Source organism: Homo sapiens, chromosome 2 (assembly GCF_000001405.40).
Source record: "Homo sapiens chromosome 2, GRCh38.p14 Primary Assembly".
Classification (NCBI taxonomy): domain Eukaryota; kingdom Metazoa; phylum Chordata; class Mammalia; order Primates; family Hominidae; genus Homo; species Homo sapiens.
The window spans coordinates 78470077-78492664 of NC_000002.12; the positions used below are offsets into that span (position 1 = coordinate 78470077).

General features: G+C 34.1%; 1 long non-coding RNA gene across 1 annotated transcript in view; it reads right to left on the reverse strand.

The window, feature by feature from the left end:
- The window catches only part of LOC124906027 (uncharacterized), a 126610-nt gene that overhangs the window by 54796 nt on the left and 49226 nt on the right, over positions 1-22588 (reverse strand). The window contains exon 2 of the long non-coding RNA XR_007087117.1: positions 15718-15776. This is a non-coding gene — a long non-coding RNA (uncharacterized LOC124906027). The remainder of the gene's footprint in view (positions 1-15717; positions 15777-22588) is intronic.

A 22588-nucleotide genomic window follows, 5' to 3' on the forward strand; every position in this document is an offset into this window, starting at 1 on the left:
TTGCACTCCAGCCTGGGTGACAGAGCGAGACTCCGTCTCAAAAAAATAAAAATAAATAAGTGTCACAATTTAAGGCTTTTCAGATCACATGGATTATACAACTTTGAACCCTAAATGCATGTTGCATGTTCCTAAAGTCCTGTTCCCTGTCTCCCTAACAGTCATTAAAATTAAAGAGTGCACTCCTAAAGTTAGTTTCAGTCTGGTTTTGATTCGATTTCTGGTTTCCTTATTCTTTTCTTTAGTTTTCTTTCATTTTTCTTTCCCCCATGAACCATTGAAATTCCACTTTATGAGGTCGGAAAAAATAATTATTTATTCATAACATCTAGCTTAGAACATTTGCCTTCACTCCTTGGTATTTTTATTCATTGCAGTCTAACTTTAAAGAAGAAATGCAAACTCCTCCATTCTCACCTCCCCTTCCACCCACTCCCCACCCCCAGACTTCATGAAATTGTTGTTAGAATTAGAAAAGATTATTTAATGCCAGGGCTATAGAGAAAAGTTTCTGGTGCAGATTTAGTTAATGACATAGCAAAGCATGTAGAGTCCATTGCTCCATGCAGGATCTGTGCTGAAAAAGAGCTCCCTATTTTAGATATGGAACTACACAGAAGTGAACCCTAGCTCAAATGTATGGAGGTTCCAAGTAGCATGAATATCCTTATGAGTAACGGTTTCATCAGTGGTGAATAGGCTAGACTATCTGAGAATAAAAAGATATATTGCCTCCTTCAGTGTTTGATTTTTGTCAGTAAAAAAATTATATATGTTTGGTGATATCAGTGTCTTATTTATTCCAATCATATGTGTAGTGGAGAGACAGTAATTTAAGTATTGGTGGAAGAAAACAGATACAATGTAAGTCTTCTTGTGTTTTAAGGATTTTAATTTCATAGTGTGAGTTAAATTATATGGTAAGTGAAGTTATTAATGTTTCAAAATTGATATGATTTGAGCTGACGTTTAGAAATCTGTATCAAGCAAGATGTACTTGGATTGCTTTATTGAAAAATTAGGAAGAGGAAAGAGATCATCATCAAAATTTAGTTATTTAAAACATTTTTATAAATACAAACTTTCTTACTATTACCTAAGTACACTGCAGACATTTCAGAAACTACATTTCAGAAATTCCAACAATCTATTCTATAACCGAAGTTCCAATACCCACTAAGCGCAGCAATAGAGTTGACGGCATTTGCTTCAGATAACTCCTTCTATGATACCCCTAAAGACCTAACGCATCACTCCTGGGATATATATATATATGCACACTATATACACACACACACATATATATACACACACATGCATGTGAACTTAAGAGCAGTTATCTCTAAATGGTGAATATTTATATATAAATACTACATATATAAATATATTATATATTTATTAATATATTAATATTTATATATTCACCATTAATAAATATTAATATATTAATAAATATATATTTATATATGTAGTATTTATATATAAATAGTCACCATTTAGAGATATATATAAAATATTCATCATTTAGAGATAACTGCTCTTAAGTTCACATGTGTGTGTATATATATATATACGGTTTTGTAGAATACACAAATATTAGAATAAGAAATATATGAATTTGGAAATTCAGAGGAAATATATGAATTTGGAAATTCATATAGGAATAAAAAATATATGAATTTGGAAGTATATTAATTTGGAAATTTTCATTTAGACAAATAGTTATCACTCTGATTTTACACTTTGTCACCATTCATTGAGAAAATAGCTTTGTGATGACCCTAAGTGTAAATGGGAAACACTCCTCACCTAATAGCAAGCTCATAAGAAGATACAAAAGCAAAAACAAAATTACGAAGTATTTATTTTGCAAAGAAAAGGAGTTAGATTTGGTTGACTAGAACCTGAGGTAGCAGTAGAAAGATAATGAATAAGATTGTAGTAATTTGGGATCTAAGTGTGACATAGCCAGTGGAAATATTGCCTATGGCAGAGAATGACTGATGAATGTTAAAGCAATGGTTTCTAACACACAATTTCAAGTTGTTTTGCTGGAGTGCATTCATCCTTTGTTATCTCAAAACTACCAATAAAGATCAGCTACTCTTCTTTTCTTCAACATGTTTATTGATTGTCTACAACATAACTGGAACTGTGCTGGCTATAATAAAGTAGTGAGTAAAAGCAGATGAGAAACTTACCTTCACGAAGCTTGCAGTTTAGCATGAGATACAGAAATTAATCAAATAATTATGCAAACAAATATAAAATACCTCTCAACAATTCTGCAAAGTGTGGGGGCGGGGGGTACAATATGGTCTGAGACCTCATTGCAGAAGGATTTGAACTATGGGAAAAACGGGCTATCTGAAAGAAAGAAGACCTACTTCCACATGATGTGGGGAAATGACAGACATGGGGCCACATTAGGTGGGGAGAAAAAGCTGTGAGCAGATCTCTGGGATGCCCACTTGCCATGGTCAGTGGAGCAGATTTGATGATCTGAGAGTGGTAAGATCCGTCTCTCCCCACGGTGCACACTGCCTCCTGTCCTTACTTCTGGTTCCTGCTGTGATAGAATGCAAGCAGACAGTAGGAGAAAAGATGGGAACTTCTCACTTATTATTGCAGTAGACTTCCCTTTGGTACACAATGAAATATGTTTGGCTCGTGTTCCATTTTTCTTAGTTCACCCTGAACCTTTTATTTTGAAAAATACTCCTTTAAATTTTAGGGAGCTGGATGGACCTTTTCTACTTTCCAGTGATGATAGCAGATGCCTTTTTATACTGATTGAGTTATTTCAAAGTGAAATTTAGATATCTAAGAGAGTCGAGTGTCTTGTCCCAGAAGCACCACTCTTTACACTTGATTTTTAAAAGGATTTTAAATAGAAATATTTATAAAGAATTTGTGAGCTCATGGGAATGGAAGCAATAATAAAAGTAGGGAGCAGGGAAATAAATCAATTTTGAGAATCATTTCAAATTTAAAGAAGATTGTCCTTTCTCTAAATTTAGAGGACATTCTAAATAGGAAATCAAAAAGAAGAAAAATGTTTCCATAAATTGATTGGATGATTATTTTCTTGTCGGGAAAAAATGATACTGTCAAAGGAGTAGAAGCTATTAAAGTCCCACAACTAGCTTGAACGGAGAAGATAATAACCCATTAGTGTCTTTGATAGTGATTTTGTTAAAATTTTTAAAAGGGATACTTGGTATGAAGAAACATAATTGCCTCCATGGAATTTAAGACTTTAATTTTAAGTCATCTAAGATACAAAAAGCTCCCTAGGCATCAATATTAAACCAAGAAAAGTGCTTACAAACACAGACATCTATCATTAATTAAAAAGTAAACATTTCAGTTGGGTATGTCATGTTTTTTTTCTAACATCATAAAATAGTCGGAGAGAGGGCATATTCTTTTTGCAGATAAGTTTAAATACAATTAAATATGTAGACCCTTTTAGGGCAATGTAAATTTATTCCTTTATTATTTTGAAATTCCCAAGTAATATATCATTTTCTTGGGAAAAACAAGGAAGTAGCTGACGTAACAAATATGAAAAAATTCAAAACCAAAACCAAATAATGTTTAATTAATGATGCTATGTATTACTCCTTACGGGATTTTGTTTCTACATGTTTTTCTTCTTTCCCACTACTGGTATTAAAGTTAAATTCTAAATTCAATCAAGGGAAGAGAGAAAGACAGGTTGGTTAACAGGTACACATAAACAGTTGGGTAGAAGGACAAATTCCAGTGTTCAGTAACACAGTAAGGTGACCATTGTTAACAATAACTTAATGTACATTTCAAAATAGATAGAAGATTTAAGGAGTTCCTAACACAAAGAAGTGATAAATGTTCAAGGAGATGGATATCCTAAATAGCCTGGTGTGATCATGATACAATGTATGCATGTATCAAAATATTACATGCATCCCATAAATATATATGATTATTATGTATCAATACATTTTTAGGATACTTCAAGGACTTGGGAACTTACAATAACCACTAACTAGTCAAAATTATATGCTTCTATATTTACTTCCTAGTCACTTTGTGTGATGTTTTGGTATGTTATTAACTTTGAATGACATTATAAAGGAAATTCAAGCTGGTTGAAGAAATGTTTGGTCCTTGTACAGTATGACATATCATTTTATCCTGAGCCTGATTAAGCTTCACTTCAAACAAAGAGTGTCCATTTTTCAATTTTATATTTTATTTTATACTTGGTGATCATTTTTCAGATTTCCAGGTAATCGGTTGATGTAATAGAAAAAATGTAACAGAAACAGTCTGACTGTTAAAAACTAATACAAACTACATAGCAAGAAGTTGGAATTGATATATAAAAGAAGGGGTGTACAAGATAAATATTATCACAATTACATAAGTAGATTAAAATACCCTAGAAATAAATATTAAACTCAAATATTGGGCTAAGAAAAATTATTCAAAATATTTTGAGTTTGTGTGCAATGCTTTAGGCTGAAATATATATTTAAAAAATAATTCTGAAAAGTAAAAAGTTATACATATGAAAACAATTTCCACTTGGAACGAAAAATTAACTTTGATTTATTCCCAAATCTAATTGTTAAATTTGTTGGTTTCTGGCTGGCATTTTGGACATTATTAATAACACCTTACCAAGAAATTATGGTTTCTCTTAAAAAAAAAAAAATCACACTAGGCAATATCACAATGGGCAATACATTTTTTTTTCAAAACAATTGAAACAGCAAAAGTTATTATTTTCTTCCCTTATTGACCCAATGCACTCTTGATGCTATTGATTCCATCATCAGATGAACGATGTTACTGAGTAATTTTTTAAGAAGAGGATTATTAATACTCCACCAGCCTGAAAATCTCAGCTGAGTGAGGAATATATTTTAAGTATAAAAATGTATGATTAAAATGCATGTTCCTTTAAAAAAGCCAAATACCATTATCCAAATCATGTTGTTGTTTTTTTTAACACATTAAGGGTTAAGCTGCAAAGTTAAAAATAAATGCAAATATACATTTTATGGGAAAGCTTTCTTTTCTGATAAAATGTAACTGTTCTTAGATCTGTAATAGAGCTAAGGAAAGAAACAGCATATAAAAGCACACAAATGTTACTGAAAGTTATAATGATTATGTTCATATTTCCCCATTTACCTAAAACTGACTGACTTATACCTGTCATTGCAATATCCATGTAGTTTAATATTTGTGTGAGATACTGTATTTATCTGTTAAATTAGTATTATTAGTTGCATAAATATAAGCCCACATAGGTTGGTAGACCTCTGCTGAGTGTTGCACACTTCTATTCCAATCTTATTTGATACTATGTGAAACATGCAAACAGTGAACTAAGTTCTCACTTCTATGCATGGTTAAATCAAGAAGACAACTAGAAATAACTTTTTTATTCCTTTTCTGATACTCTCCGGACTATGTGTCACTAACATCTCTTTTTCAAGGCCAGTCTACGAGAGAGTGCTTGGTAAAACAGTGAGCTAGGGCAAAGTTGCTAAAGAGAAATACTTTCTTCCAGTACTCAGGCATGGTGGATGTAACAATAGATACTATTTTTCCCTCAACCACTTGATGTACACTTTTGGGAAAATAAAATAAAATAAATTGCTGCAAATAAATGTTTTAAAAAGTATTCTATTGGTTTTAAATACAATTTTCAGTCAAATACATACATAAACACCTTTTGTACACACACATATATATGTATTTGTAATTTTAATTATTTGTATCACTTCCTTTCACTTAAAAATCTAAAATTGAAAGTCACACATTATGTTAATATTATTTAAAATTGAAAATAATATTGTACTCTATGAGAAGTACATTTCACTATTTTTTTCCTGCTCTAAACAGAAATCTAAAGGCATTGTGAACAAGTTAATACGTAATAAGATAACTTGGATAGTTTGATTACTAAGAAGGAAAAACAGTACATAGTATTCAGTCTGATTGTACGAGTTTTCAGCCTGAAGCCATTTGCAATTGCTTTCCTTTTTCATATTTTTCTATTTGCAATGGACTTTTTTTCCTTCTCTGTCAGTTTTAGTAGTAACAGGAGCAGCAATTTTCTTAAGTCCTCAATGAGAATGTGTCAATTATTAGAACAGATAATTCTTATTCCAGCAATAGAGCAAGCAGAAGTAACTCCAAACTTTCCTTGCTACAAAGCATATAGACAATACAATGCTGGGTGAGGGTGGGGGACAATATATCTTAAAGAGTATGTACATGTACTTAAATCAAAGAAAGGGAACTTCAGAGAAGGAAAAAATAAGAGGGGAAAATTAAACCAAGGAGGTAGACAGAGAAGCCAATTCAGTGGTTCCAGGAAGTTGGCCGTGAGTCTATCATCTAACTACTTTTCCTAAGCCGTTTGAGAACGTATCATACACATCATATCCCCATAGGATATTCAACATCTTTGAAAAAAATTCCAGCGCCAACAGAGCAATATTTAATAATTTTTAAAATAAAATATTAAACAGTCAACTTTTGTAACATAGAGGATGTTATTTTCACAAATGACGTGAAATTGAAAAATGACTCAGTAGGTCAGACCATGAGCGTGACACAGTTTTAATGATATCCTGAATTTTCTTTGCTTACATTTTCCACTTATGTATGTACAAAGCGATATATAAATCAAGATCTATCTAAAGACTTATTAAACATAACACAAAATTCTGCATAAAAATATGTTTTGTCAGCATTTAATTAGCAGTAGTTTTTCTGTATTACTGATTTATAGTAAGTGCACTTCATCTTAAAATAGATAATTACATTAGACTTGATAAAATACTGGTATTTATTCTCTTCAACACTCTGTATCATTGTCTGAGATACAGAGTTTTCCCAGCGAACCTCCTCTATTGCTGATGAGAGGATGTAAGGTTAACTGGCCTGCTCACGCCCTCTACAGCTCCCTATAGCTACAGAAAATTGCTCTAAGTTGTTTTTCCTTGTGGTTATTTCTTCGCATTCTCCTGCTTGACTTCTGCCTATCTCATCTGATCACATAAATGCTACTTTGATCATGTAGCATTCATCAGGAATTTTATCAAGCAATGCCCCAAAGCCAATAAGCAGGGTACTGCCATGACACGCGTTACCCTATATTTTCATTTCAAGTTCACATCACAAACGTTATTGAAAAATACATTAGTTTCTGTATTCCTATCACTTTAGACTTTCTGCCCTGGGGAAATTTTATTCATTCCCCCTACTTCTGCTACTGTCTCAGTAATAACATCCATTAAAATCTATACCTCACATTTCTTACATTTCTAACTTTCAAAAAGTTTTTGTACTCCTAAACTCAGCCTGTCCAAAGTTTATGCTGTTTGAAAACATTCAAATGATGAAAAAAGATAGTAGAGTTAGACTCAAACATGCTTTGTTATCTGCCTTTATGGTACCACACATCCAAAATTTTAATTAATTGAACTTAAATTTTCTTTCAAGAAAGGAGAGGCCAGGCACAGTGGCTCACACTGTAATCCTAGCACTTTGGGAGACTGAGGTGGGTGGAGCACTTGAGGCCAGGAGTTAGAGACAAGCCTGGTCAACATGGGGAAATCCATTCTCTACTAAAAAATACAAAAAAAAATTATCCGGGGGTGATGGCTCACGCACCCGCAATCCCAGCTGCTCAGGAGGCTGAGGTGGGAGAATCACTTGAACCCTGGAGGTGGAGATTGCAGTGAGCAAAGATCACTCAGCCTGGGCGACAGGGCTAGATACTGTCTCAAAATAATAATAATAATACAAAAAAAAAGAGAATTTTAGACCAATATCCCTGATGAACATCGATGCAAAAATCCACAATAAAATACTGGCAAACTGAATACAGCAGCACATCAAGAAGCTTATCCACCATGATCAAGTGGGCTTCATCCATCCCTGGGATGCAAGGCTGGCTCAACATATGCAAATCAATAAACGTAATCCAGCATATAAACAGAACCAACGACAAAAACCATACGATTATCTCAATAGATGCAGAAAAGGCCTTTGACAAAATTCAACAAACCTTCATGGTAAAAACTCTCAGTAAATTTGGTATTGATGGGACGTATCTCAAAATAATAAGAGCTATCTATGACAAACCCACAGCCAATATCATACTGAATGGGCAAAAACCGGAAGCATTCCCTCAGAAAACTGGCACAAGACAGGGATGCCCTCTTTCACCACTCCTATTCAACATAGTGTTGGAAGTTCTGGCCAGGGCAATCAGGCAGGAGAAAGAAATAAAGGGTATTCAATTAGGAAAAGAGGAAGTCAAATTGTCACTGTTTGCAGATGACATGATTGTATATTTAGAAAACCCCATCGTCTCAGCCCAAAATCTCCTTAAGCTGATAGGCAACTTCAGCAAAGTCTCAGGATACAAAATCAGTGTGCAAAAACCACAAGCATTCTTATACACGAATAACAGACAAACAGAGAGCCAAATCATGAGTGAACTCCCATTCAAAATTGCTCCAAAGAGAATAAAATACCCAGGAATCAAACTTACAAGGGATGTGAAGGACATCTTCAAGGAGAATTACAAACCACTGCTCAATGAAATAAAAGAGGATACAAACAAATGGAAGAACATTCCATGCTCATGGGTAGGAAGAATCAATATCATGAAAATGGCCATCCTGCCCAAGGTAATTTATAGATACCATGCCATCCCCATTAAGCTACCAATGACTTTCTTCACAGAATTGGAAAAAACTACTTTAAAGGTCACATGGAACCAAAAAAGAGCCCACATTGCCAAGTCAATCCTAAGCCAAAAGAACAAAGCTGGAAGCATCATGCTACCTGACTTCAAACTATACTACAAGGCTACAATAACCAAAACAGCATGGTACTGGTACCAAAACAGAGATATAGACCAATGGAACAGAACAGAGCCCTCAGAAATAATGCTGCATATCTACAACCATCTGATCTTTGACAAAACTGACAAAAACAAGAAATGGGGAAAGGATTCCCTATTTAATAAATGGTGCTGGGAAAACTGACTAGCCATATGTAGAAAGCTGAAACTGGATCCCTTCCTTGCATCTTATACAAAAATTAATTCAAGATGTATTAAAGACTTACATGTCAGACCTAAAACCATAAAAACCCTAGAAGAAAACCTAGGCAATACCATTCAGGACATAGGCATGGACAAGGACTTCATGTCTACAACACCAAAAGCAATGGCAACAAAAGCCAAAATTGACAAATGGGATCTAATTAAACTAAACAGCTTCTGCACAGCAAAAGAAACCACCATCAGAGTGAACAGGCAACCTACAGAATGGGAGAAAATTTTTGCAATCTACTCATCTGACAAAGGGCTAATCTCCAGAATCTACAATGAACTCAAACAAATTTACAAGAAAAAAACAAACAACCCCATCAAAAAGTGGGCCAAGGATATGAACAGACACTTCTCAAAAGAAGACATTTATGCAGCCAAAATACACATGAAAAAATGCTCATCATCACTGGCCATTACAGAAATGCAAATCAAAACCACAATGAGATACCATCTCACACCAGTTAGAATGGTGATCATTAAAAAGTCAGGAAACAACAGGTGCTGGAGAGGATGTGGAGAAACAGAAACACTTTTACACTGTTGGTGGGACTGTAAACTAGTTCAACCATTGTGGAAGTCAGTGTGGTGATTCCTCAGGGATCTTGAACTAGAAACACCATTTGACCAAGCAATCCCATTACTGGGTATACACCCAAAGGATTATAAATCATGCTGTTATAAAGACACATGCACACGTATGTTTATGGCGGCACTATTCACAATAGCAAAGTCTTGGAACCAACCCAAATGTCCAACAATGATAGACTGGATTCAGAAAATGTGGCACATATACACCATGGAATACCATGCAGCCATAAAAAATGATGAGTCCATGTCCTTTGTAGGGACATGGATGAAGCTGGAAACCATCATTCTCAGCAAACTATTGCAAGGACAAAAAACCAAACACCACATGTTCTCACTCCCAGGTCAGAATTGAACAATGAGAACACATGGACACAGGAAGGGGAACATCACACACCAGGGCCTGTTGTGGGGTAGGCGGAGGGGGGAGGGATAGCATTAGGAGATATACCTAATGTTAAATGATGAGTTAATAGGTGCAGCACACCAACATGGCACATGTATACACATGTAACTAACCTGCACGTTGGACACATGTACCCTAAAACTTAAAGTATAATAAAAAATAAAATAAAATAAAATACCAAAATAATAATAATAATAAGGAAATATTAATGCTTGATTTGCTTGGGTCAATTGAAGTTTAAATGAAATACCATATGTAGAAGTGCATTTGAACTGTAAAATTCTAAACACTTGGGATTAACACCTTCCTGTCACCAAGGCTGAAAGCTAATGTAGCCATAATTTATCTTCTCCATGTCTCTCTATAGAATAAACAATATCTCAAAAACATTTCTCTAAACTGACAAATTCATTTCCCCTGCCAATGCCCTGGTTTAACCATATATTCATGCCAAGACTGAATTAATACTTTTCTAATACCTGTCTCTTTCTTAAATATCCTATCTCTTCCAATATATTTTCCATGCACACACCTATTATCTATGTTTATAACTAATTTTTCATCCATAAAGGTAATGGCTCCTCATTTCAAATTATTTTATACTGCCTAGTCTTTAATTCCCATGTAAGACTCCAAACAACATGCAGCTTTAACTTTTAGTTTCCATAAACTTTAAATCTCTCAATGCTTTTGCTGCTCTTACTCCATCTGCCTGAAAGTAGTTTTTTATTTATTTTGAAATTCTACTCATCTGTTAAGATTTATATAAAATGCTACCTTTTCTGTTAAACTATTGCTTTAGTCAATCAAAATTAATATGTCTTCTTTATATTTGAAAATATACATCTTTTATAATATTTATTACATTTGTTCTAATATTAATATTTATTGCTGATCCTCACCCAATAAATTGCAAAAATACTTTAGGGCTTGGCATTTTATCTTGTATTTTTCTTCTATTATATGCGTTAGTAAATATTTCATGAATAAACATCTTTCTGTGAGACATATATTATGCCTATCTATAACTTACCTATTTCACCTATTAGATACACATCATCTATTCATCCCTTTTATTTAAATACGAGTCATAAATTGCTTTTAAAGATTATGCTGTATTTCTTTCAGAATATATCCTTTGTGCTAAAACCCAAATTTTACATATATAAGTTTATTTAAGTGCTGTTTTTGTATGGCCTATGAGCTAAGATAGGTTTTTACATTTTTAAATAATTGAAAAAATTCAATAGGAGATTATTTCATGACTCATGAACATTACATAAAAATCAAGTTTCAGTGTCCATAAAGTTGCACTGAAACACAGCCACATCCATTCATTTATGTATTAACTTTGTATATGGCTGCTTTCACACAACATTGCAGAAGTCAGTAGTTGTTACAAAGACAATAAGGCTGGCAGGCCTACAATATTTACTCATAGATCTGTGAAAAAAAAAATGGCAACTGCTATCTTAAGGTATACACATTTCTCAACCAATTACATATTCACTTATACTGAAAATAAAAGGCCAAGTATCATACCACCAGTTAGTCATCTCCTGTCTGCATGTCTCCCACCCCATTTCACCAGGACTAGTGAACACATGCATGCTTGGTCCTGGCATACAGTAGTCCCCCAGGTCTGGACATTTTCCTTTGTGATTGATATATCTTATGCCAGATGCTGTGTTAATGTCTCCCTCTGAACCCTGGCATAGATCTCTGGGTTTTATACACTGGAATGCAAGGAGAGCTGAAGAATGAGGAATGTCTTTCAGTATATCACAAGCCAATGGGTTTATGATGTTGCCAAATGTGCAGTATAAGCTGTTATTCACTTAACACATAAAAAAATTTCTTATTTGTTTCTCTCTCCCAGTGATACCACATCAGAAGTAGAGGTTTCTCTTTAATTTAGCCAAAAGGAGACAGTTCAGTTACAATTTACTCAGACCAATGTATCACAGAAAGGCAAATTTAGTAAATTGTAGTATATTCTTACTAGTCAGGAGGACTAGCCAAATGAAACTTTTATTTCAACAATAGTTTAAACAAAATTCTATACACTGTGTAAACTCTAAACACTTAAATGATAACCTCATTTTTAATTTTTTCACAGGAGGTGGGGGAAAACCATAATAGTGTTTAATTAAAGAATAAAAAGCAAAAAAAAAAATTAGCAGATTACCGTCATTTGTATTTTTTTGTTTACTCCAACATCTACAGTTAGATAATGAGAAACAAAAATTAGAACATATAAATTCTGTACTTTTCTATATAAACCTAAATGTACTGGAAATTCTCTATGATTGATCATTATGTAAAAAAGTCAAGTTTCAAGATAGTATATACAATATAATCCCTTCTATAAAGAAAAATTAAACTAGGCCAGAAAATACATATCTATGTATACATTAAGAATTTTGTTTAAATATACAAAACTCTATTTATATATTTACTTAAATCAGAGCAAATATTTTTACAATATAGGATCAGATATTTGTATTAATATAGAAACATTCATAGGCTATAAAGTGGACTCTGTGGCTAGATGTTTTATGGAACTCGACTTTGATATCTAGAAGTATACAGAGAAATAATACTTGATGTGACAAGTATGAAATTGTTGTAAAGGGCTTTATATAGGTCGTAACTCATCAAATTTACAATGATAATGACATCGCAGCATAATTAAAACTTGATAATATTATTTATAGATCAGATCAACTTAAATGTGTAGGGGAGGTAAAATTTTACTTGCACCCTCTTAAGCTTTTCAGCTGGGTCTGATAATTAAATTGACATAAGAAAGATTAAGAGAAGAAAAGTATATGCATTTGTTCATTTTAAGTTTTATGTTATATAGGTTCCTACATAAAAAAATGAAGACCTAGAAAACCAGTTAAAGTTGAACACTTACATACTGAGTTGGACAAAGAGTAGTAAATTTTGAAAATGTGGTAAAGCAAAAGGGCTTGTGTTAGAGTAGTTAGCTGAGTGGAGAAGACACTAGGAAGGAAAGGGTTAGTTTAGTAAGTTTTCTTTGTACAGATTCCCCATGTCCTCAACTTCCTGTCATTGGTAGGAATGATACTTTCCTTCTGGTATAGGGTGAATAGCTTTCACATGGGAATTTGGTCTCCTGCTTTCAGGAACAAGAAGGAAGTTCTTTTTGTACCTGCTATTTTTCAAGTGCCTTAAACTAAAAACATTCAATATACTTGAGCAACACACTTGGAATGGTGTCGTCTGAACTGCTTCAAACTAAATACAAGTCAGTGGGGCTAATGTGTTGAAGATGCTGGCTGACCATGTATTGAAGGATATTAGAGAGATGATCCAGCACCTGGATGTTAGAAAAGAGCATTTTAAAAGCCTCCATATTGGAGAGTACATATATTTAAATATATTTTTAAAGACAATAGTATTCCAAATGTATTAATATTAAAAGAAGGTAGGGGTCATATGATAGGAAAATTGAACTAAGACTATCAGGCAACTACAAATTTAACCAGCAGTTAATTAAAAGAAGAGGAATGTATCCATACCCTACTAAGTTGCCATCTTTAACTATTTAAATTGCAATATCTTCTTTTCTGTGTATCTACCTTGATAGAGTCTTTTATAAATCTTAATCAGCTTTCCAAATTTACTGGCAATTTGAACTCTCTTAAATAAAGCCCTGTGTGGCATGCAATCATTTATAGTGAATTCTAAATAATCAGCTCTTAGAGATTTCTGGACCCTATACAAGCAGATAAAAATTTCATGTATTACACTTAAAATATTACCATAGCTGAAAAGAAATAAGGGCTAATCCTACATTAGCAAATGCTGCAAATGTACTTACACTTCACATACAGCCAAAAATTAAACATTCACTACTTAACAGAGAAATGAAAGGCGCAATTAATCATTGAACTAATGGACTAATCAGGGTGAGATCAACTGCATCAGTTCATATAAGAATTGTACTTTATTTTTAATCCCAAATTTGACTTAAGAGGATTCAGGATATTTCTCCATAAATGACAATCATTTGAAAGATATAATTTTCTTTGCTTTCTAATACAAGTATGCAATGGAATTCCCCTGTATAATAAAGTAAGTTACTCAGGCGACATTGTTTTCCTCTTTGGAATGATCAATGAAAAAATAATACTATAAAAATATTTTCTTTCCAGTCTTCTTTAGTCTGTTGTGTCCTTATGTTGCTTTTCAGGACAAAAATTTTTAAATATGCTGGAAAGAGAATAAAGTCTTGTAGAAATTTCTCAGAGCATAATGAAGAGAACACATAGGCTTAGAGGCAAATCATCATAGCTTTAGATTAGTGGATCTCAAATTTTAGTGTGTCTAAAAATCATCTGGAAGGTTTGTTAAAACACCAAAAGCAATGGCAACAAAAGACAAAATTGACAAATGGGATCTAATTAAACTAAACAGCTTCTGCACAGCAAAAGAAACCACCATCAGAGTGAACAGGCAACCTACAGAATGGGAGAAAATTTTTGCAATCTACTCATCTGACAAAGGGCTAATATCCAGAATCTACAATGAACTCAAACAAATTTACAAGAAAAAAACAAACAACCCCATCAAAAAGTGGGCCAAGGATATGAACAGACACTTCTCAAAAGAAGACATTTATGCAGCCAAAATACACATGAAAAAATGCTCACCATCACTGGCCATCAGAGAAATGCAAATCAAAACCACAATGAGATACCATCTCACACCAGTTAGAATGGCAATCATTAAAAAGTCAGGAAACAACAGGTGCTGGAGAGGATGTGGAGAAATAGGAACACTTTTACACTGTTGGTGGGACTGTAAACTAGTTCAACCATTGTGGAAGTCAGTGTGGTGATTCCTCAGGGATCTAGAACTAGAAACACCATTTGACTCAGCCATCCCATTACTGGGTATATACCCAAAGGATTATAAATCATGCTGCTATAAAGACACATGCACACGTATGTTTATTGCGGCACTATTCACAATAGCAAAGACTTGGAACCAACCCAAATGTCCAACAATGATAGACTGGATTAAGAAAATGCGGCACATACACACCATGGAATACTATGCAGCCATAAAAAATGAAGAATTCATGTCCTTTGTAGGGACATGGATGAAACTGGAAACCATCATTCTCAGCAAACTATCGCAAGGAGAAAAAACCAAACACCGCATGTTCTCATTCATAGGTGGGAATCGAACAATGAGAACACATGGACACAGGAAGGGGAACATCACACTCCGGGGACTGTTGTGGGATGGGGGGAGGGGGGAGGGATAGCATTAGGAGATATACCTAACGCTAAATGATGAGTTAATGGGTGCAGCACACCAACATGGCACATGTATACATATGCAACAAACCTGCACATTGTGCACATGTACCCTAAAACCTAAATTAAAAAAAAAAAAAAACCCACAAATTTTTTTGGCCCCAGCACAATAGATTCTGGTTCAGGAGGTCAAGGGTGAGGCCTGAAATTCCTCATGTCTAACAACCTCCCAGGTGATGCCATTACTGCCATCCATGAGCCGAGCAATGGGCAACTCTAGAGATCATTGTTCTACTTACCAGCTTTGGTAACTGTGAATAAGTTTCTGAAAGTCTCAGGGTCTCAAGGTTTTCCTCCTCTGTGAAAAAAGAGATAACAACATTGACCTTACATGGTAACTAAAATGAGGCAGGCATTTATAATCAATTCTTTCTTTTTTTTTCTTTCTATTACAAAAATATTCTGCTCCTTTTGTTAGAACTACTGTTGGAACTTCAGCATATTTATTAATAAGGACAGCTGAGTGGTATCAATCCTCAGATTTGCAAATACATAGCTTGTGACTTGCACATTTGTGCCTCCATAACTAGATATGTTCAAATAATTAATAATTATTTGTTTAAGCATAAAACACATATATAATTAATAATTATCTGTGTTTTGGTCATAGTTCCAGTGATTAAAACAATGCACAGTATTAAAACGTGTGCCTCTACTAGTCAGTAGCCAGTCACAGATGAATTGATGATATTCAGTAAATGTGGAAAGAAAGGAAGAAAAGAGAGACATATTTCATGATTTTAAAAATTCTGTCACATTATAGAAAAGACTGTACTTACAATGCACAGTTTCTGGCACAAAGTAGATGTCCCTACCTATTTGTAGAAGCAGACTTTTTTTTAGCAAAATTGTACATGTAACCCAGCATGTACGATATAAGAAAGCGAAAGTGATCAGAATGAAGCAGGCTAGGAGAATCGCTGATTTCCCTGTTCTGTCTACTGAGCTAGAGCTTGAAAAGCTTTGCCTCTGTTTTTGATGTTTGATGATTCTTCCAACATTAGCATGCTAAGAAGGGAGGCTAGAATTCATGTCTTTAGAATGCTAGTGACATACTTCTCCTCAGAAATAAGACATGGAGTAAATAAATGAAGAAGAACAATGGGTTCCATTCTGCTCTAGGTGCTGGGGCAAATGCTATTCCCAGATGTGGAAGACAAAGGCACCTGAGAAATGAGACTTGGCCTGGGGAACATAGGAGCAGCTCTGAAGCTTTGCCTCAGCCAGCAACTTGCACTGTGCTAGGTTTCACTTCAGGTCTGTAATCTCAAAGGCACACATGTATTGTTCCACTCCATTTGTAGTTGCCATAGGAAACTGAGGGACTACTTAACATTTAAGTGAATAAATTAAATGATCAGAAAGACTAGAATGCATATCATCTCTCATTATTATTGGCTAAGTCTTGGAAAAATATATAAATTTCTTTTCAATCTAGTAAGTAGTAGATTCAGTTAATCAAACCTTTCATCTTATATATCACTATTTTATCATGGTTCCCTCTTGATTTGTTTATTTATAATTACTATCCCCATTCCCTTGTACAATCATTCTAATATATATAACAGAATTACTTTTAAAATGGGTGCTTGTAAAATATACATTAGAAATTTGTATGCATGTATTTTTGTTTTATATGAATGGTGATTGCCAAAAATGCCATCATGTTTTTAGGCAGGGTGAGAGAGAGAGAGAGAACCCTTTTTAAAATCTACTCTCAATACCATGCATCTATCTGCTGCTTAATATTCTATACAGTGTATCCTCCATATTTTACTTAATCAAGCCCCAGTGATGGTCTCCCATTGCCTCAAAATTCTAACTCCCATAAACAAAACTACAACAAACATCTTTGCATGTGTTTCCTTTTGGATCTCCATGAGGTGCTGTTATTATTGGGCCAAAAGGCTATCCACATATTCAATTTTGCTCTGAAGTGTAATATTCACTGGATGTGCCAGCCTGAATGAGGGAACACCCCCCACCAACTGATGATATAAAACTTTTCACTCAAGCCAATCTGATAGGTACAGTGTGATATTTCATTACTGCTTTAATTGGCTCTGATTACTGATGAATTTCAGCATTTCTTCATATGCTTGAAGGCCTTTGGGATCTTTCTCTTCTAATTAATTATCTGTTCAGTCACAGGTCACATTGCAGAAGAACATGTGGGATGGAAGATATGGAGTCCACCTTTGGAAACTATTAAATTATTCATCTTTTTCTATGGATGTTCTTTCTCTCTCTCTCTCGGCTCCATTATAAACCATACTCTTACACATGCCTTGGTCTATCGGTGGGTTTTCAAGTCCTTACAATCTGTGAGGCAGATTCCTTCACTCCTTTCCTAGTTTCTTGTTTTAAAATGTTGAAGGGAAACAGTGTTTGATACTGTTGATTCACCCTGTGAAAAGTACAAAATGGCTCAATTTGCTTCAGATCTGCTTTTATGTTTTTTAATCAAATATTAATTTCTTATACAAAGAGGTTTTCTGTATTATTTTAAAGACCTTATATTTTTGTTGCTAATATGAAGAATATCTTTATTTTTAGTTGTGGTTAGTTTGCTGTCATTGATTTTTGTAAATATACATTTTTTTGTGGAGACTTTACCAAACACTTTTATAAGTGACCATGTTTTGTTGATTATTATTTCCATTTTTTCCCTAGGAGATAATCATATTAAATTATTTAACATCATTATTTACATATACTGCAAATAATGGCACTTTTTAAAATTTTTTGATTCTGATATGTCTTATTTCTTTTTTCTTTCTTCCTGCATTAGATAGAAGTAATTCCATGTTAAGTTGTAATCTTCTCTTGTTCTAATGCTAGAGTTTCCCTTTAGGTACAGCACCATTTATACATATTTCATAGTTATCAAGGTAAGAAAGTTTCTCTATTTCAGGTCTGCCAGGGTTTATTTTTTAATCTTCTGTAAATGTTGAAGTTTATCAAAAGCAACCTCTATCCATGATGGAAACCAGTCAATATGCTGAGACAATTAGATTACAGATGTTAAAAAATATAACATTGTTTTTTCCATTGTTCATATGAACTTTCAAGAATTATTACCACATTTGCAATGTTTTAAGATCATGGTTACACATATTTATTTATTACATGATTAATTGATTTTATTGTTCATTTTAATTTTAGTGTAGCAGCTCCATGTTTGAGATCTTTATTTGTTTTTTAATGGACATCAGAAGTGATTTGAAGTTGTTTGGTTATTGTTTTTTCTTTTGAGATGGAGTCTCACTCTGTTGCCCAGGCTGGAGTGCAGTGGCGTGATCTCAGCTCCCCGCAACCTCTGCCTCCTGGGTTCAAGCGATTCTCCCACCTCAGCCTCCCGAGTTGGTGGGATTACAGGCTGAAGTTATTTTATTATATTTTTACTATACACATACACACATACATTTTTAGAGACTACTGTTTACACACAAGTATTTACCAACGCAAATAAACAAATATTTTTATATTGTATTTTGTCAGATTTTTAATTAAAAAATAAAAATTTACAAATTAGTCAATTCATCTTTTCCCTGACTGAGTCCTTGATTATATCCTGAAATCTTTCTAACGACAACCATTAACATGAATGTAGAGTAAATCATTTCAGTCCACACCGCATCACGTGATTTTGAAAGTTTTCTCTTCCCCCATTTTTTCTTGGAGGTTTGGAATTACAGCTGGAGGTTCTATAATTTTGGTTGTCACCCTAAATTATTCAACATGCTTACATAAGATTGGAGAAAGTGATCGCGCTTTACCTGGTGAAATCCGGCTTCAAGGGCAGGCAGCCTGCGCAGCTGCACGGGCCTCATACTCAAGACAGAGTTTGCACTTGGTTTAATGCTCCGCTTTCACGTTCTTTAAACTCTTAATACTTCGTCTTAGAACTTATATTTTGTAAGTGAAGTCTGATGGGCCAACTGAGCATGAGTGCATGCAAAGGATTATCAGATGGGCCCAATCTCATTACAGAAGCCCTTTAAAAGCTGAATTTTCTCTGTCGGGAGACAAGAAAAGTCAGAGAGATCTGAAGCCTGAGAAGGACGGAATGGGCTGCTGCCACCTTTGAAAATAGGTCATGTCCTTTGCAGGGATAAGGATGGTGCTGGAGGCCATTATCCTTAGAAAACTAACACAGGAACAGAAAACCACATACCAAATGTTCTCACTTGTAAGTGAAAGCTAATGATGAGAACACATTGACACACAGAAGGGAACCACATGCCCTGGGGCCTATCAGAGGGTGGGGGTGGGTGGAGGGAGAGGATCAGGAAGAATAACTAATGGGTAGTAGGCTTAATACCTGGATGACAAAACAATCTGTACCACAACCCGCATGACACAAGTTTACCTGTGTAACAAACCTGCACTTGTACCCTTGAACTTAAAATCAAAGTTTAAAAAAAAGGAAAATGGGAAAAAGGAAAAAGAAGGAATTTGAACAGGCACTAAGAGGAGACAGTAGCCACAGGAGACAGCCATTAAGGAAAGGGAAAACTCAGACCTATAACCTTAAAAACCTGAATTCTGACAACACACAAGTGACTTTGGAAACTAATTATTCCCAAGAGCCTCCAGATAACAGCTCCCTCAGCCAAGACCTTGATTTCAGCCTTGAGAGACTGAGCAGAGAATCTGACAGATCCTGCCTGGACTTCTGACCTACAGAACTATAAGATAACTGTGGGTTGTTTTAACCTATTAAATTTATAGTAATATAAACATCAATTGAAATAATATTATCCAGTACATCTCATACATCTTCTACAATATGTGTGAGATCTTCAGTCTGTTACATGGAAAAATATTTAATTGATTATGTAGGTTTCTGTACTTTTAACAACTACCATTTAAAAATTTCTATTGATATTTTTAATTGCTTGCTGTACTTTTAGATGAAGATCACAGTTTGCCTGTCACTGGGGCCTAATACAGGTTATAATCTTGTGTTTGCCTTTCAGAGATTTTGGCCAGAAATACATCTACATGTACACATATATCCTATTTTTGTTTATTATTAAATTATGTATTTACTAATTTTGAAAGGTAGAAAGGAATCTCTACTAGATACAAGGTTTCTTTTTATTTCAATTATTTAAGCCAGAAATTAAATGAGAAAATGCCGATCGTCTATCAACAATTTGGATATGTTCTGCTTTAGTTAGCTGGCTGTACATGCTCTCCAAGATGCTTGAGTAAATATCAACGTTAGTCATTTCATTGCTGAACAGTGTGAACTCATTCATGGATTTGCAGTTTGCCCTCACCTCCACCTGATCTGACTGGAGCACATCTAGTTCTTTCCACCATTTCATGTCTTTATGAGCCTATTGGCCTATATATATATTTCTCTGAAGGAACTGTGACATCTACAGGTTAGCTAGGTTGCTCTCCTCACACTCAGATGACTTTCTTTTTAAAATCAGTGGTGTTAATGTCTCTCCTTCCTAAGCACATGTCTTAGCCTGTCATGTGCTTAAACTGTACATTGTAGACTGCTGTACACATTGAACTCTACTCAATGTTTCTTCAAAATCAAGAGATTTAGAATGTTTTCCAAGAGACCTTGTGGCTTCCAAAAACTCATTTTATCATTCACATGTTTTGAATTCTTGCTTGGCTAGTATTTTTCTCAATCTAGTCCTGTTTGCAGCACTCCTAATGATAGTTAAATTTTTTCTTGTGTATTAGTGACACTCTTGTTTTGTAATTCTTTTTAGATGCTTTTGTATGCATGTATGAGTATATATGAAAGTGTGTGTGTGTACATGTATCATCATTTAGTGGCATTTGTAAAGACCATACTTTAAATATGTAAATTTTTTAAAAAGAATATTTTTGGGAAATTTATTATTATCATTATTAACAGGTTCTTATCTAGATATTTGATATCTATATATGACATATCTATATATTGCATATTAAGCCCTTCTTTTTAATATGTGCTGCAGATACTTTTTTGGTATTAATATATGAATACCTCCCTATGTTGCCCAGGCTGGTCTCAAACTCCTGGGCTCAAAGAATCTGCCTGCCTCGTCCTTCCAAAATGTTGGGATTATAGGAGTGAGCCAGTGCACCCAGCCAGTATATTTGTATTTAATCTTTTTTACTGGTTGTTTAAGAAATAAAAGTTTGAAAACAATAATGGCTTGGTGTGTTTAGAAAGTTCTTTTGAATCCAAGTATAGATTAAAATTAAACTTGCCTGAAGCCTGCATCTTATTGATATTTTAAAATGTCATTTAATATTGATGAAACATATATAAATTGATTTAGTAGCAAAAATTTCATTCAGCAGAAAGTTACTCTAAATAAAACTGACTTTCTAAACAACACACCCAACTATTAATATCAGATATTTTTTGAGAAGATGAGAAAGTGGGTTTACAACTATCTGAATGTATATCCTGAATTTTCTTAAAGAACCTATTTTTTTGTATTGTCCACATAAATGCTTGAGTTATCAAAATCCCAACAAGACTATTTTCAAAAATATATATCTATTAATTGCCTTCAGATTCAAAGCTAAATTATTTCCAATGTTTTATATCCTAATTTCAGAAGCAGATCATATTTTTCCCTTGAATATAACCTACGTAAGTCTATAAATCATGAAGTTTTGCTTACGGCAATGCAGTTGTCTTCCTTTTTTCTTGGGTATAAAGTAAGAGAAGATATGTAAATATTTGGATGAATATTCACAATTGGAAGAATTTCAGACACCAGTGACACCTTGGGTAATTAGCCAACATTTCAAGCTATCACACAAATGATATTGCAAAGAAGAGTGACTTTAAATAATCTTTTAATTTAATTTTTTATGATTTCCTTTTTTTGATTATTATTATACTTTAAGTTTTAGGGTACATATGCACAATGTGCAGGTTTGTTGCATACATATACATGTGCCATGTTGGTGTGCTGCACCCATTAACTCGTCATTTACATTAGGTATATCTCCTAATGCTATCCCTCACCTCTCCCCCACCCAACAACAGTCCCTGGTATGTGATGTTCCCCTTCCTGTGTCCATGTGTTCTCATTGTTCGATTCCCACCTGTGAGTGAGAACATGTGGTGTTTGGTTT